Source organism: Homo sapiens, chromosome 4, assembly GCF_000001405.40.
Source record: "Homo sapiens chromosome 4, GRCh38.p14 Primary Assembly".
NCBI lineage: Eukaryota > Metazoa > Chordata > Mammalia > Primates > Hominidae > Homo > Homo sapiens.
Window position 1 is genome coordinate 78,614,322 of NC_000004.12, and position 18,296 is coordinate 78,632,617.

An 18,296-nucleotide genomic window follows, 5' to 3' on the forward strand; every position below is an offset into this window, starting at 1 on the left:
GAGAGGAGAATTTCAAATGAGGAGGAGGGTTACAGAGTAGGAGGTAACATTGAATGGCTGCTGCAGTAAACTGTTAAAAGAAATCCCAAACCCAGAATACCAGAGCAGCCCATTCAGCTGAAAGGTTTTATGACACAACCATGCATAAGAAAAAACTAGCTATCAAAATGTACATGTGACCTCTTTGGGCATAAACTTTGTGGAACTGGATGTGGCAATAAATAGTGGTCCAGGCCAGGCGTGGTGGCTCACCCCTGTAATCCCAACACTCTGGAAAACCGAGGAAGGCAGATCACCTGAGGTCAGGAGTTTGAGACCAGCCTGGCCAACATGGTGAAACCCTGTCTCTACTAAAAGTACAAAAAAATTAGCTGGGCGTGGTGGCAGATGCCTGTAATCCCAGCTACTCAGGAGGCTGAGGCAGGAGAATTCGCTTGAACATGGGAGAAAGAGGTTGCAGTGAGCCGAGATGGTGCCATTGCATTCCAGCCTGGGTGACAAGAGTGAAACTCTATCTCAAAAAAAAACATAGTGGTCCAAGGTGACCTGGCAGAGCATCAGACTTGCTGTGAAGCGACAGATGTGATTTGCCAATTGCTACAATATCAACCACCAGATAAAAGGAAGTTTTGAAAAAGAACATTGGGATAAAATCAGCTCCTACGAAAAAGAGCATGCCACAGTGGGGTAGAAAGTAGAGAAGAACAAAGGTCACAAGGGTAGGGAGTTGGTGAGAATTAGCCCAAATTCACCCCTCCTTTTAGAGAACTGCAGCAATCCACAGCGTAACTGGCTTGCATTGGTGCCCCTGGCCACAGACCTCAGAAGAGTTTAGAGATTTCCAAAGTTGCATTTAAATTTTTTGTTTTGTTTTGTGTCAGAGAGCCAAGTCCACAAAGAAAGTTCCAGATCATGTCTGCAAATTCTATTTAAACCGGTGTTAAATAGAATTTGACATCTGATAACTTCATGAAAAATATTTTTCTTGGTTTTTATCAGTCAAACCAAACTCCTTCCAACCTTTATTCTTCCAACATTTATTACATGGTAACTGTAGTCCAGAAACTACGCCAGGTGTTGGAGTTATAAAAGTGAAGAAAGCTACACATTTCCTGACTTCAAGGAGTTGACGATCTGGGGAATAAGCAAAGGAGAGGAAAGACAGATACTTGGCTAATTGGCAAGGACAGCATAGTGGTGATAGCGGTGGGTGGGTTTGGGGATTAAGCAAATGTGGCTTCCACACAAAATTCTCACACTCTTTGCAACTTGCAGAGTTAAAGGATAAGATATTTGAAGCAACTGCCAATTACTAGGTGTTCAGTTAAAGACTGTTAAAGTTGTATTGCACAGTGGTTAAAAGTCTGGAGTCAGCCTAGCTGGACAAATTCTAGCTCTAACAGCTCTAAAGTCTCTAGCTGTGTGATCGTGGGAAAATTACTTAAGCCCTTTATGTCTCAGATTCCTTCATCTGTGAAATTTGAGTGATAGTAGTAATTAGACCAACCACCTAGGATTACAAAGATTAAATGGATCGATGCATGTAAGTACTTAGAATGACCCAGTACATTGTAAGCATATGTAAATGCTAGCTACTTAAAATTAACTATAGTAAAATATGATATGTACTGTAACAATGCTAGTAAAAATGCTGCGGACTACTAAGTATCAGAAATACTGATAGATATAGAAATAGATACAGATACACACAAAAGATGTTTATGATATTTTGCTAAATGGAAGAAAAGTTGCTTGACGAAACAGAAAAAGAAAACCAGTGTGAGACAACATAGCAAATGTAAGGAGGCATGTCTGCTCATTTCTGCATGCCAGCATAATTTCACGAAGCCTAACTCTGTGACGACGTGCAGCTCTCCGGAAATATGCTTTGAAGGCAAAGCAGGATAGAGCACATGGCCCCATCATGTCTCTTGCCTGAGTCACTAAGTTCCTTAAAAGATAAATGACTCTATTCCCTGCCTTTTCTTACACGTAAGGTAATATCTGATGGGGTTAGTGATGATGCCTCTGTAATCTATAACCAGCTGTACTCTTACACCCAAACTTCGATGTGATTCTGCTTTAATGTAACTTCTGCACACATTTGATGTGATTTTACAAGTACTAAACCTTCACAACTCATATATAAACTGTGAGCTAAAACACCATTTCAGAGCAGTCTGACAGAACCTCTTTGAAGGACTGTTCCCAGGCTCTAGGCCTCAGTCTATAGTCCTCAGTAAGACTTCTAAATACAACCACCTTTCATTCTTTACAAGCTTGATTTTTTTTTCTTTAGTTGACACCAGAAGGGCTGGGAAAATGTACATGACCATGGTAACTGTTTATCTCTGGGTAGTAGCATTACAGCTGATGCATTTTTCTTTTTTTGTCAAAGTTGTGTTTTCTAAGTAAATTTAAATTTATTGACTTAATAATTTAAGAATATCTTTACATGACATATAAGAAAATTTGGTTATTAAAAGGCACCTAGAACTCAAATGAAGGATTAATTAAGTATGCAGGGCAGGATTCACCAGGAATGTCACCTCTGAGCTAGGTATTAAAGGAATTGATTGGTAGGGCTTTGAAGATATAAAGATTAGTAGAGATAAGAACAAGATCCCCGTATTTGATAATATTGGAAAATAATGTATCAAATAGTACATGAGTTAAGTGAGCTGTTAATCCTTTTCTGTTTCTTTCTTTTTTTAAAAAATAGCAACAAGGTCTCACTGTGTTGCCCAGGCTGGTCTCGAACTCCTCGGCCTCCCCAAGTGCTAAGATTACAAGTGTGAGCCACCACACCCAGCCGAGTGGGCTACTAATCCTCAGTGAAGAGGCCATCACTGGGCACTGAATATCAGAGTCCATCCTTATTTTTTGTGTGTGTTCCTCTTGTTTCTGAAGTATCTAATGGAAAGTCTGGCTTCTCTGTTTCTCTCTTTCTCTGATTTCAGAAATCTTATTACGGTATCCTATCTATTGAAGATAACTAGAGATCAGTTTAAGTCTTCTCCATGCTGGAGCTTACAGAATAGATGCTAATTCTATTGCCTGCTTTCCCAGATACTGACAGGTAATAAGAGGGCCAAGTAGACCACCCTGCCATGGATTGGAGCCATGTAAGACCCATCCTGTGTACACTCAGAGCTGACTCTTTCCTAGGAAGTGAGTGGTATGGATAGACATGCGTCTTTTCCAATTCTTCCTGTGCCTCACCTCAGTCTTCAGGACTCCAAGGAGGTAGGACCAAAAAGCACAGGGCCCCTGAGTGTTATTTCAGATCCTCTGTGTAACCAGCCCACACCTGAGCCTTCTGTCAATGGAAAACTCCATTAGGCAGCAATGACTGGAGAATGTCTCCAATTTATTCAAACATGTTTCTAGAGAGAAGACGGTGGTGGGGAGAAAAGCACTTCCTTCCTCTCTCTACCTCCTGTCTCTTCCTAACCTCCTCTGCTTTAATTTCTGGCTAACCTCAGCACTGTTGACATGAAAAAGAAGCCTTTGCACTGTTAAGTCTACTTTGAATTATTTCAATATGGGGACCTTCCCTGGCCACCAGGCAACAAACTGTCCATTCTTGATTTTCTCCTCTCTCTCTCTTCTGGGTATTGAATATGTAGTTTGGCTGGACCAGGTGCTGCCAAAAACTTCTTGGGAGGCCCACGGCTTCCCAGAATCTAGAATCCACCCAGAGAAAGTCCCTGTGAGGAAACTTCACAGATCTTTCTCTGGTTACGTCTCTGGGAACACTGCACTTGCCCGGCTTTTCCTGCACTGCTTTTCTTGGCTTCCTCAGTGTGATGGTCCTGTCTTCTTTCTTCAGGAAAAACAGGCCCCCTGGCCTTCCCTTTCCTAGATGTGAAGGAAAGATGCCAGAGCCATACAATGTTGGTTTCAGTACCACCAACTTGCCGTGTAACTTTCGGCAAATTACTTAGCCTCGCTGATCCATCATTTCCTTTTGTTTCTAAGATAGGAGTAATAATTTATCAATTCATAGTGCCAGGAAGACCCAGGTGCCAGGAAGGATGGAATGCTTAGATCTGTCATGGAAGATACAAGGAATTAGATGAGGAAACACAAGTAAAGGAATTAGCACAATATCTGAAATATGTAGTCATTGGCTATTATTTACATCTTTCCCCAATTTCCCAGTCTCTTTTGCTGTTATCAAGTATATGCATAAGGTCTTTTTTATTTTGAAAGACTTAGTCATTATGGGAAAATTGACAAAGGACTGCAAATTCTGTATAATCATGTGGAACTTTCACAACTTAACCAACTGCACCACATTCTTGACCTCTCTGTGCAGGCAGAGAGAATTCAGCTCCCTTTGGACTGTGGCTTTATAACCTCACATGCTCTTCTCAGCCAACCGACCTGAAGAGCCAGTAGGCATTGACTTGCATTCTTTCAGAGGTCCTCTTGTTTCAATAATAATAAGCACCATTTCTTAACACTCACTATGAGCAATTCATATATTTTGTCTCATTTTGACTTTATAACAACACCATGAGGCAGGTAACCTTATCTCAATTTACTAGTCTGGAAAGAGGCTCAGAAACGTTAAGACCACTCTAGATATAGTTCTGGAGCCACAAAACAAACTGAGATTTCTATACAGTAGATCCAAAATCTATACGCTTGACTCTCTCACGCTGGGACCATGATACAGCAGTAGCAACAGTTACAAAGCTCTTTACTTTAGAGGCCCGTTTCTTGGGCTCTGGGGTTGGGAGGTAGGTCTGAACACTTGGGTGTCTCATAAATTCTCTGACTTCACACACTGAGCAACTTCACCACACATCACTGGCATCTAACGGTCAGTAATACTGAAGTCTAAATAAGTCTCTCAGAAGCTTACATATCAATAATATAAAGTCATCTAGTACAGGACAGAAGCCACCTTGATAGAGCCAAGTCAGTATCTTTCAATCTGACAAGACTGGTCAGGAGGCTCTCAGACCAGAAGGTAATATCTTCACTTGCTGAGCACTGTACTATCCGAAGTTCAAAACTATAGACTGTGCCACAGCGGGGCACATGTGCAAGGGCAGAGTTGGAGCCCTGAATAAACAGTTCACCATTACTTACAGAATTTCCCTGGTTCCATGTTTCCCCCTTTCTTTTTTGGGGGGAAGGATGTGAATTTTTCTTCTTTTTCTCCAGCAGTAGCAGTACTGAAACCATTCAGCAACGAGGATTTGGCAGCTTCTAAGGGTCATGTCGTTGGTGGGTGCAGTTTGAGTTGAAGTGATTGCAGACGTGCAGACAAACACACAGAAATAGAGGTTCAGTAGGGCCTGGGCCTAAGCCCTGGGGAAAGCTACAGTTACTTCAGTGGAAGGGGAGTAGGAGCCAACAGAGCAAATGGAAGGAAGAGCAGGAAGATGATGCCGCACTCCGGAGGAGAAGCAGCAGAGTTGCTCTCTGTACCTGCAAGCCAATGGAGAAGTTTATCATAAGACAGTAATGAACTAATAACACACCGCTGACCGGTGACACACAGCAATAGTGGCAACTGTTGAAGAACTACTGTGTGCTCAGCGTCACGCTACATGCTTTAGAGAAGCCCTTAGGGCACAGTGGAGTTAGAAGTACGTTATTTATTAGGAATGACTGTACATAGGATAAAAAAAAAAGAAATAGGTCATTTATCCTAACTCTTACAGCAACTAGCTTTGAGAAAGTGAGCAGCTTATTCAATCTCTCTGAGTATTAATTTCATCTGAGAAATTGGAGTAATAATATCCATATTACTCATTTAGCCTATCAATGTGAACTGAAAGCCTACTGTGTACTAAACACTACTCTAAAAGCTGCATATACATGTAAAAATTTACTACCTGTTCGGCTGGGCGCGGTGGCTCAAGCCTGTAATCTCAGCACTTTGGGAGGCCGAGGCGGATGAATCACTTGAAGTCAAGAGTTCGTGACCAGCCTGACCAACATGGTGAAACCCAGTCTCTACTAAAAATACAAAAATTAGCCGGGCATGGTGGCGCACACTAGTAATCCCAGCTACTCAAGAGGCTGAGGCAGGAGAATTGCTTGAACCTGGGAGGCAGAGGTTGCAGTGAGCCTAGATAATGCCACTGCACTCTAGCCTGGGTGACAGAGCGAGACTCCATCTCAAAAAAAAGAAAAAAAAATTCAGTGCCTGTTTTCATGGAACTTACAGTCTATAATAAAGATAAGAATGATCAATTATATTAAATGCCTGGGATTTGGCACTTATTTCATTTAATCCTCACAGCAATCCTATGTTTAGTGTGCTCTTTTCACGTCAACATTATCTGCTGTTGTTAAATGTTAAATGAAAATAAGTCAAGGCAGATCTGAGAAAACTATTGAGTACTAGGTTCGTCTTAACTGTGAAAGTGGCCATTGTTAGTTGATGGTTATGTATAATTAGTTAGTTTGAGAATGTGGGGTATATATTTCATATTCAAAAGCGAACTCCTGCCTCTGTCAGTCAATATTTGTGGTCCACCATCATTCTTAGCATCTAGTCCAACGCCTGGCACATATTAGATTATCAATACATAATTGTTAAATTAAATTGAGTACTTATTATATGCCAGACATCACTTATTCTGCAAATTGCATTTTATCTGATCTTTGTTCTTAGAAATTATATAAGGGCCTCTGGGAGAAACAGTAAGATTCTGGCCTACTAAGCTTTAGTGTGCTGTGTCAATAGTAATTGAATCAGGGAACAGGGTCAAAACCAGTCTTAGATGAAGAGTTTTTTCCCTTCTCTGACATAACCCCTCTATTTCTACTCTGAACCCATCTCTTATTACCCAGGACATTGCTAATAATGATGGGTGGTCCCAAGGTTCTGCCCTTGCATTTCTGCTCCACTAGAAAATACTTGGATTTTTGAGACTTTAAATAACAGTTCCAGAACTTACTAGCTTGGTAATTTTTGTGAAGTTGCTTACTCTTAATTTCTCAGTTTCTTCTTCTATAAAATTGAGATAATGCCAACTTCTATGGTCAAGAAGATTAAATTAAAATGATACATCCAAGAATACCTAAGACAATGAATAAAAGGATAGGAAGCTAGAAACAGGGATAGTTACATTTACAGTAAAGCTAGTTAGATAGGAAACATAGAAGGTTCTTGGTGCTCCATAGATGTCCCTGACACTCAGCATTTCCTACGTTCTGACTCTCCTTACTGCAAGTGCCGGTGACCCTGCTGCAGCCTTTATCTGTCTGTGGGAGCTGACCACACTTGGGTCAGAACAGAAGTGTCAGGGAGTAACACCCCTGGGGTGGCTCTCAACCAGTGACAGATGGAGGCCATGGATAAATACCACAGGCTCTTGCCTCCCAAGTGAGACAACTCTGAGGCATGATCTATGCTGCCCCTGAGACCCCCAGGAAGTCTGAGCCCCAGCTGCCCGCAGTGACAACTGACTCACAACACACCCTGTACCGGCTTTCTTTCTTTTTCTGTCTCACTTCTGCACTCACTTCCCAGTGCTTCCTGGGATCCCTGGATCCTTTTCTCAGCATCTGTTTCTGGAGGGACACATCCCAAAATAGGAAGGACTATTTTCAGTAGTCACTATAAAGTAGGAGGTGTAACTGTGTGTAACTTTGTGGGGTTACAGGGTGGAGGAGTTGAGAGAAGAAAACGGAGGCTTTTAGGGTAGAAATCCTCTAGAACAGTGATTCTCTGTGTTGGCGTGCTAGGGAGTCACCAAGTGTTTTGGAAGTGAAATGGAGAGGTAGGAGGAGCACTGGGGTGGCTCAAGTTAGATGGCTCTGGGAAGGAAATGAGCCACAGCTTCAAAGTTCCACCTCTTTCTTCAAAGCACAGTTACCTGGAAACACAAACGAAAACGAATGAGAGGAAGATGAAGAATAGGAGCAATAAGAAGAGGAGGAGGAAATCCCATCTAATTTTATCTACCACATTGCCACCTTATTACTACTTTACATTTATTTCCATGGGTTCTTTGGAAGTGAAGTCCAGAATTTAGGGGCACACAGGGAGTCTATGATTCTAGTAAGCAAGGCAGGAAGCAGTGAAGGCAAATAGAATTAGTGAATGAAATGGGATAGATCATGTGACGCAGGAGAGGTTCCAGGGAAGCTAGAGATGGGCTTCCTGGGTGGGGTGAAGGAGATGACAGGCTGTGGCTGCAAATGGGATAATAGATCTCAGAAACAGAGATTACCCTGAGTGTTAACGACACTGACTAAGGCAGGTCAAAGGTGGAGGTCTTCAACCCAGGAAATACCTCTGGGGTAAAGGAATCTAAAAGGTTAATGTGGATTCCAGAGTCAATATAGATTATGGCAAAGGGCAGGGCAGAGGAGCAGGACTGAGTCCGCTGCTGAAGTAAGCTTGGGAAGTGAGGATGGAATCTGGTGAGTCACAGCATTGAGAACTGCACAGTCTTCAACTGGGCAGAGGGTGAGAGTGGGTGAGGGTAGTTCAAGGGTGAGAAAGCACACTGGAGGGAGGAAAGAGCTGGCCGCTCCACCTCACCCGCTGACTTGAGCAGAGAAGATAAGGCTATCATGCTGAAAACAGTTGGGAGAACAGTGATTTCACAGGAGAGCATCTTTCAGGCCAGACGGCAGAAGAAAGAGGATCCATGTGAATGGGGACTGTGATGGTTAATTTTCTGTGTCAAATTGGCTAGACCACAGTATTTGTTTAAATATTATTCTAATTGTGTCTGTGAGAATATTTTTTAAATGAGATTGCCATTTAAATCAGTAGACTTTGAGTAAAGCAGATTATCTTCCATAATGTGGGTGGCTCTCATCTGATCAGCTGGAGGCCTTAACAGATAAAGACTCCCTCTCCTTCCCATTAGGCAGAGAGAATTTTGCCAGCAGACTGCCTTTAGACTTGACCAGCAATACCAACTCTTCCCTGGGGCTCCAGGTGACCAGCTCACTCTGAAGATTTTGGACTTGCCTGCCTGTACAATAACGTGAGCCAATTCCTAAAATAAATCTCTGTCTCTCTCTCTTGCTATATATATATGTGTGTGCGTGTGTGTATTTCTCTCTATATATATAATAAATACATATATAATACATACTATATATGTATGAAGGTATATGTATCTCTCTATATGTATATATAGAATTTCTCTAGATATATGTGTATATATAGAGAGAGCTATTATATAGCTATATATAGAGAGAGAGCTATTATATAGCTATATATAGAGAGAGAGCTATTATATAGCTATATATATATAGAGAGCTATTATATAGCTATATATATAGAGCTATTATATAGCTATATATATAGAGCTATTATATAGCTATATATAGAGAGACCTATATATAGAGAAAGCGAATACTACTCAGCCATAAAATAAAAATTACTACTCAGTAATGAATTAATGGCATTCACAGCAACCTGGATGGGATAGAAGACTATTATTCTAAGTGAGTAACTCAGGAAGGAAAATCAAACATCATATGTTCTCACTCATAAGTGGGAGCTAAGCTATGAGGATGCAAAGGCATAAGAATGGCACAATGGACTTTGGGGACCTGGGGGGAAAGGTGGGAGGGGGTGAGGGATATAAGACTGCAAATTGGGCTCAGTGTACACTGATTGGGTGATGGATGCACCAAAATCTCACAAATCACCACTAAAGAACTTACTCATATAACCAAACACCACCTACTCCCCAAAAATCTATGAAAATAAAAAAATTTAAAAAATATATACTCGTCTTTATCCCAACACAGTCATAAAATTTTTAATTTTTTTAATGGAGGAAGGGGCCCATCAAAGCAAGAGTGTCTAAGGCCAATGAACATGCTAACGCAGCCCTGAAAGCCATTCCCGCTGCTGCCTTTGTAATTGCCTTCTCACGCCCATGAAACTGGTGACTAGATACTGGCGTTTACTGCAGAAAAAGCTCATTGGGCAACAGAGAGCAAGAAAAGCAGGAAGTGATTCTGCCTCATTTTCACCTTCCTGACTCATGCAAGAGCATCTAATCCAGCCATAGATGAGTTCTGGGGCTAGAAATCTAAATGGTTTTTAGATTTCTAGTCTCTGCAGTACTGGAAGACACGCATGAAGGAAGCTGGAATGGACGCTGGGTGCCTGTCTCACTGCATCCACCACAATTGTGTTGGTTAGTAGGACTACTACAGGGCCACACACTAGAGGAAGGGAGAGACTGAAGGCACTGATATAAAATCAGTTAAACTTTGCTGAAAATGAAGGAAATGTTGCTTCACTCTCCAAGGAATACTTGTGTTTCTGTGCAGATCAGATCCTGGTTCCATCCAAATCAGAACAGATGCTATTAACACACTGAGCCAGTATATTTCCCCCTGCCTAATTCAGGTAGCAAAAAATTCACAAATAAGGAGATGGGGACAATTCATATTCAAATAAATAACAGCTTCCAGCTTCTTTTTCCATTTTTCCTTCCCTTTGATCTCATCTCCTACCACTCTTCCTCTTCCTCACTGTGCTCCAGCAACCCCTAAAGCATGCCAAATATACTCCCACCTCAGGGTCTTTGCACTTGCTAGTCCAAAGCAGGAAATAGCCTGACTTTGTCTCTGACCTCCTGCAGGTCTCTCTTCAAAAGCCATCTCACTCACAGCTATCCTATATAAAAGCAACCTGAAGCACCCCCTCTTTCTCACTCTGCTTTTCTACACAGGACTTGTCACCTTTGGACACACTCTGTTTTACATGTTTATTTGCTCATGACATATCCACCCATCTGGAAAATAAACTCTAAGAAGACCAGATCTTCGATTTGTTCACTGTTGTATCCTCAGCACCTGTAGTAGTGTCTGGTGCTTATTAAGTGCTCAAAAGTATTTGTAAATAAATGAATGAATAATTAATATTAATATCTTGCCTCTCCTTTTCTCCCAGTTCAATTCATTTTAGCTGCTGTGGTCACCTTCAAAGTTTCTTGAGAGAGAGAGTTTGTGTTTAGGTCATGTCAATTAGGTCATGCACACTGAACTGAAACTGAGATGAATGACATCATCAGTCATCAAAATTTAGGTTAAACATTTCCTCAGTAGTTATTCAATATTTTATACATGAGGACAGACCGAAAGAGAAGTACTTGCTTAGGGCCACACAGGGCCAAAGTTTAGGTCTCCTAATTCTGAGCCCAGAGTAGTATTTTCTTTTCTCTTTTCTTTTTTCTTTTCTTTTTTTTTTTTTTTTACAGAGTCTCACTCTGTCACCAAGTTGCAGAACAGTGGCGTGATCTCAGCTCTCTGCAACCTCCACCTCCCAGGTTCAATCGATTCTCCTGCCTCAACCTCCCAAGAAGCTAGGACTACAGGCGAGTGCCACCACGCTCAGCTATTTTTTGTATTTTTAGTAGAAATGGGGTTTCAGCATGTCGGCTAGGATGGTCTCGAACTCTTGACCTCGTGATCCACCCACCTCAGCCTCCCAAAGTGCTGGGATTACAGGTGTGAGCCACTGCACCTGGCAGGCCAGAGTATTTTCTGCTACATGTCATAGCAATGTCTATGCTTTTGGTATTCTTATTACCAGGAATATTTGAGAAAAAAATGACTAATATGGGCAATCCTCAATTTTATTATTATTATATTATATTATATATATTTTTAGAGATGAGTTTTCATCATGTTGCCCAGGCTGGTCTCGAATTCTTGAGCTCAAGCAATCTGCCTGCCTCAGCCTCCCAAAGTGCTGGGATTACAGGCGCAAGCCATCAGGCCCAGCCCTCTCTTTTATTTTTGTTGAGCTTAGAAAATGACATGGCTTTCTGTCTTCACTTATATATAGCCTAAGTATTGGCATCATGAGTTCTACAACCTCACTTATGAAAGGAATTAGTTTGTGCCTGTTCTCTAGTCACTTCCCCCCTTTTAAAAGACAATGATCTGTTGAGAAGAACCAGCACCACCTACCAACTTTGTTTAAATTCCTATAAGTACTAGTAACAAAACAATTTTACCAAATTATTATTATTCACTATGATCCTGACATCCATTGAGGTGACATCCAATTAGGCAATGTTAGTTCCTGGAAAACTGAAACACTCATCATTTTGGCAAATGAAAAGTAATTGCTGGATTCACTAGCCAGGGCACAGACAAAATTCATCTGGTCCTGAGAAATATCAAAGCTTTGAATTTTTAAGTAAAAGTCTAAAAATGTCTGGTGCTGAAACCATTATTGCCAACTAAGTGGTCCTGTATACTGAATTTTTCTGACTCAAAAGAATTCCTATAGTATCCCACCACCCCCGACCCCGTACCTCATTCTTGTTTCTGTGAGGCTGGCAATCAGAAAAGTGAGTCATTAGTTAGGCTTAACTTTTGGACAGGTGTATTATTTGCAAACAGATTGTACCTGAAAATTCTATTCTGAGATTTGAAAGAATTGTAGCGGGATTTTCCTGGGATACATTTGCAATGACACTTGACAGAGAGAAGAAGGAAGATATCTGTCTAGATAGCTAGAGGGAATCTCAGCAGTGTTAAGGCCATCTAGAACATCAAATCTCATTGGGGAAAATTCTGGAAGACCTGCTAGTGAGCAAAGTAAGAGACCAGCAGTAGGGGCTAATCTATCCTAGGGATGAGAGGAGGCTTCCTCTCATCACTCACCTGAAGGAGAATGGTACCAAATGAAGCATTTTAGACTAGGAGAATGCAGCTAACTCCTAGTGAAGTGACTTTCAGTTTAGTTTCGTTTTGTTGTAGCCAATCCTATTGTTATATGCAGTGTAACTCTCTGGGAAATAGCTATAATTTCACTAATTTCTCTTCCTCTTGAAGAAGAGTATGGGAATGCAATTGAATGAGAGTATAATATTATAGGATATTGTACTTAAGATCCTTCTGTATGATAAAGACAGAAAATCCTACTTATGCAAGGGAGGAAATTTACTGGATTGTGTAACTGAAAATCCAGGGATAGTATGGGCTTTAGGCACAGCTGGATTCAGGGTTCAAAATGTATCACTAGGTCATGGATTTCCTTCATCTTTCAGCTCTGCCTTCCACAGATTGGTTTTAGTCTCAGGTTCTACATGGGAGCAAGCTGACTAAACAGAAGTGCCAGCTTCCTATTGTCCCAGGTTCAAGTCCACTGGGAAAGAGTGCCTGCCTGGAGGATGCCAGACTCTCATTGGCCAGAGTGCCTCTGGGATGGGGATGGGGAAGGGGAAAATCCCATAACCACTGGCATTGAGTACAGGGATGGAGTAAATCACTAACTAAAAAGTGGAAAGTGTAACAAAGAATGTCACAAGGAAAGGCCAAGTAACCAGAATGTTCATAAAATAGGGAAAACTTAATATCTGTTCATATTCAAATTCACTGCATTGAATATTGTGTGACATCCCATAACAGAGGAGATAGCAATGTGTTTTCACCAAGGTTGAGAGGACGGGCAACATTGGGCTGGTGGAAAGGAATATAGAACTACGCTTCAGGATCGCTGAGTAATCATCTTGTTTGACCACTAAGTTTCTCATGTGATACTGAGTAATTCATCTCACCTTTCAGGTTCTCAGGCTTTTTTTTTTTTTTCCATCTGTTAAACAGAATTGCCTGTGTTACTTATCTTACTGGGTTACTGTGTAGCTGAAATCAAATAAAACATTTAATAATAGTTTTATTAATTTATCATGAGACATATTTCCAAACAGATATTATGTATTTTGTTTCAATAAAGGATGATGAGGCAAATCTACCCAGTGATTTTTCACTTCTGAGGGTTGTGCAGTTCTTGAATTCCTGACTGCAAAACTGAAGCAAGTTTCTTTCACTGATTCAACAAGTGAGTCCAAAGTTTAATCAGATATTCATTTACTGACCTTTTACTAAAAAAGAACATTTGAGGAATTAGCACAAGATCTGAGATGAAGGTAATCCACAGACAGATTTTTCTTTCATTTGTATTCATTTGATCGAAAATGTGTTTGAGCACCTACAATGTGATGAACAATATAGATGTGGTCCTGCATTCATGGAGCTTAGAGTCAAAGTGACATTAAAATATTAAACTAAGCTGGGCGAGGTGACATACGTCAGCTACTCAGGAGGATGAAGCAGAAGGATAGCTTGAGCCCAGGAGTTTAATGCTGTAGTGTGCAATGATCATGCCTGTGAATAACCCCTGCACTTCAGCCTGGGCAATACAGCAAGACCCTGTCTCTAAAAATATACATATTCAACTAACAATCAAATGAAGAAATATATAATTACCAACTGACAAAAGCTATAAGACATTAGAGAAGCCTCTCTGGTTTAGTGACAGATAATCTGAAACCCAAATGATGAGTAGACTTAATCATTAGGAAATTGTGATGGTGAGGGAGGGGACTCGAAATCAGAAATGTTCCAAACAAAGTAAAATGCTGTTGAAGATGTTCCATATTGGATGCCTGTTGTTTTTGTTCACTCAACATCCCTATCCCCATTCTTTTGGTAATCTAAATTCTTGTAGTTTAGGCTGCTACGTGACCAAGACCTGCTGCAGTACTCTTTTCTCCAGGGTATTGATCAGTTCAGGAATGGACACTTGTTTTAACCTAGCCAGACAAAGTGTTGTTCTCTGGAGCCTTTCTTGTATAATATCAGGAAAAACTGAATCATTTAGCTGCAGTTATTAAGCTGAGAATGTGTCATGGTGTGAGAGTCAGCCAACTGTATAGTTAGAGGGAGCACAGTCTACATAAGACTACCTACTTCCAACACCAACAGCAAGCTCAGGAGGTTCCCAAAACATACCTTTGATAATTCACTGGAAGAATTCACAGAGCTCACAGAAAGTTGCTGTACTCATGGTTACAGCTGACTGCAGGGAAAGAATACAAGTCAAATGCAGGCCAAGGAAGAGACACATGGGCCTGGAAGTGAAGTGGTATCATTGTCTAGGGTAAATACCCTGCGTTCATTGTCTCACACCAAGATTAAGGACATCGACAGACACACAGGGAGTGAGTTTAAGAGCAGAGGTTTAACAGGCAAAAGAGAGAGAGAGAGAGAGAGAGAGAGAGAGAGAGAGAGAGAGAGAGAGAGAGAGAGAGAGAGAGAGATGCCTGAAAAGGAAGTACAGTGTGTAGTGGGAGGGCACTGGATTTTATAGACACGCTTGAGGAGGCAGTGTCTGATTTGCATAGGGCCCACAGATTGGTTGGACCAGGTGTGATGTTTACATACAGGGTGGGGAAGGCTGGTCACCCCACCCTAATCTGATTATGCAAATGGGCTTTCCACTTGGCTGGCACCATGTTGTCTGCTCCTTACTGTACATGTATCTGGCAAAGAGAAGGGAAGATACAGCTGTTATTTTGAACATGCTTAGTCCCAGGTAGCCTTTTCCTATGGGCACAGCTGCCAGCGTTCACCCGTGCAAGCTTCTAGCTTTCTCTTCTATGTCTGCAGCTCAATTTTCCAGGCTGCGCTTTGTTACAAAATAAATGATTTGGTGGCTGCTTTTCATTAAAAGGAAAACCTTACTGAGGACTTCCTTACCCTCACTATCTGCGTAAATAATTTCTTTTTAACTCCTATATCAGAAGGTGCCAGATGTGGAGCTTCCAGTTGTCCTCTCCCCATGGAGTCAGGACAGCATTACTGTCCTGGAGTAAGTTTGTGACGGTATGCAAAGTACTGCCACACAGAAAATTCTCTCAAGCCTCAGGGTCCAGAGTTTTACTGGAGCTCCATACAGGCAAAATTGATTAGCCACGTGACTGATTTCAGTCTCCAGTACCCAAAGTCCCCACGTGACTGATTTCAGTCTCCAGTACCCAAAGTCCCCACCTTAAGTAACCTTGGTGGTGTGGCTCAAAGCCACAATCACAAAGCTCTAAATCACATTGTTACTATCTGGCTGGCCCAAGGCCCCCAGGCAAACAGAGACACTCTTGTCAGGCATGACATTCCAAGGACCTAAAGATTACCTCCCAGAAACCAAGAGCAAAGGCCAGATCACTCTTTGAGTAAGGTTCATTCCTTACTTCACAAACAGTCATCTCTGACAGTGAATATTCTGCCTCCATAATGACAGTCTGTGATAAGAAGGAATTAAATCAAAGATAAGCAGAGTTAAAAGATGAAGCAACAGAGCAATAAGGTCATAATGTGAGTTCCCAGAACCAGCCACGCCTGAAGCCAGCTGCCTCCTAGGTTCCTCACTTGCATGCACTACCATATTTCCTTTTTCGCTTAAGTTGTTTATATTTGCCCTTTGAATTAGAGAAGTTCTGAGGTAGGAGAGAGATTTTTCATTTCAAACATTTGAAAGAAAAACTGGAATATAGTGAGCAAGGGAAAGTGAGTGGTGGATAAAGCTAAAGACATAGGAAAGGGCAAGATTATGTGAGGGTCTAACAGTGATATTAAGAATTAGGCATTAACCTAAGGGAATTAATGCAGGAATAGAAAACCAAACACCAGATGTTCTCACTTATAAGTGGGAGCTAAACACTGATACGAAAAAGGGAACAAGAGGTTCCCTGTGGCCTATTTGAGGATGGAGGCTGGGAGAGGGTGAGGTTTGAAAAGCTACCTCGAGTAACTATGATGATTACCTGGGTGACAAAATTATCTGTACCCCAACTCCTGTGACATGCAATTTACCCATGTAACCTGCATATGTACCCCCTGAACTGAAAGTAAAAGTTGGAAAGAAAAACAGAATTAGGGAATTTCTCCTAAGTGCAGTGTGAATCTTCTGAAGGATTTTTAAAGGCAAGCAACATTATCTGACCTATCTATATATCTATATATAGATTTTTCTTTTTTTTTTTGATAGAGTTTCGCTCTTGTTGCCCAGGCTGGAGTGCAGTGGTGCAGTCTCTGGCTCACTGCACAACCTCCATCTCCCAAGATGCCAGGTTCAAACAATTCTCCTACCTCAGCCTCCTGAGTAGCTCAGACTATAGGCACCAGCCACCACACCTGGCTCACTTTTGTCTTTTTAGTAGAGACAGGGTTTCACCACGTTGGCCAGACTGGTTTCAAACTGCTTATCTCGGGTGAATCTGCCTGCCTCGGCCTCCCAAAGTGCTGGGATTACAGGTGTGAGCCACCACGCCCAGCCAATCTGATCTATATTTTAAAACATATATATGGAGAAAGGACAGGATTATGGGGAAGAGTGCAAACAAGAAGAGTATTTACATTTAAGAAAAATTTGGAAGTAAATTGGCCTGTTGGACTGTCTATGGAGGTGACTTTCTCCAGCAAGTGTCAAAAATTAGCCTCAGATTTATGGCATGAGCCAGTGGATGGATGGAAGTAGCTTTTTTTGAGATGAGAAAATAGAGGAATGAGATTGTAGATCAGTTTTGGATATGATAAATTTAAAATGCCTGTGAGCTATTCAAGTAAGAGGTTGGTTTCAAGGACACAAGAGAAGAAAGTATGTCAGAAAGGAGGGAGTGGTCAACTGTGTTAAATCTTTCTGAGAGTTAAGATGAGAACCAAAAGGTGTCTGCTGGATCTGGAAGCATGACAGCTTTTGAGGACCTTGAACAAGAGCTGTTTTAATAGAGTGGTGGCAAAGAAGCCATGTGAATTGCAGTAAAGAGTGAATGAAAGGCAAAGCAATTAAGACTGCACATATACAACATTCTTAATAAGATTTTCTATGAAAGAGAGTAAAGAGAAAACTGAACATGGGTGTGAAGTGTGGGGAAGGTTTGTTTGTTTTTAAGCTGGGAAATGCTTGCTCATGTCTGAATGCAGATACATAGATACTGATAGACAGAAAAATGGAAGATGTAGAGGAAAGAAAAATAATTTATTAGTCAGGGTAATGATATAACCAAAGGACTCTGCAATATATAATAGGTCAAGCACAATAGAAATTCATTTCTCACTCACATGAAGTTCAAAACAGATGTTCTGTTTTTTTCTCTTCTTCCTTCTCTCCTTTCCTTTTCTCTTCTTTCTTTCTTTCTTTCTTTCTTTCTTTCAGATGAGTCAAGTGCAGTAGTGAGAAGTGGGGAAAGAGTAGAATGAGGAATTTGATCTGTAACTGACTGTGACCAATCAATTGAGATAACTCACTACCTTCAGACCAGCCCCAAATAGATATTGTTAATGGTACCTGGGTCTTCTCTAATGGTGATACTGAAACCCAGGTTCCATCCATCTTGTGGAAGTGCCACCCTTAATACTTGGTTTTCAAGTTTGCTGTGCCTCTCTGCATCAAATGGCAGAAGGTGTTACAGTAGGTAGCTAGCCAGGCATGAGCGGGGCAGGAGAGGGCTCCCCCAACACCCCTACTGGGAAGGTCAGGTGCCCATCAGGTGATG

At 41.3% G+C, this 18,296-nt stretch overlaps 1 long non-coding RNA gene across 1 annotated transcript; it reads left to right on the plus strand.

Annotated features, from left to right (window-relative positions):
• Positions 1–471: 471 nt before the first annotated feature.
• Positions 472–9,020, plus strand: LOC124900721 (uncharacterized). Its single transcript, XR_007058152.1, has 2 exons — positions 472–3,246; positions 8,853–9,020. It is a non-coding gene; the product is annotated as an uncharacterized LOC124900721 (long non-coding RNA).
• Positions 9,021–18,296: the final 9,276 nt, after the last annotated feature.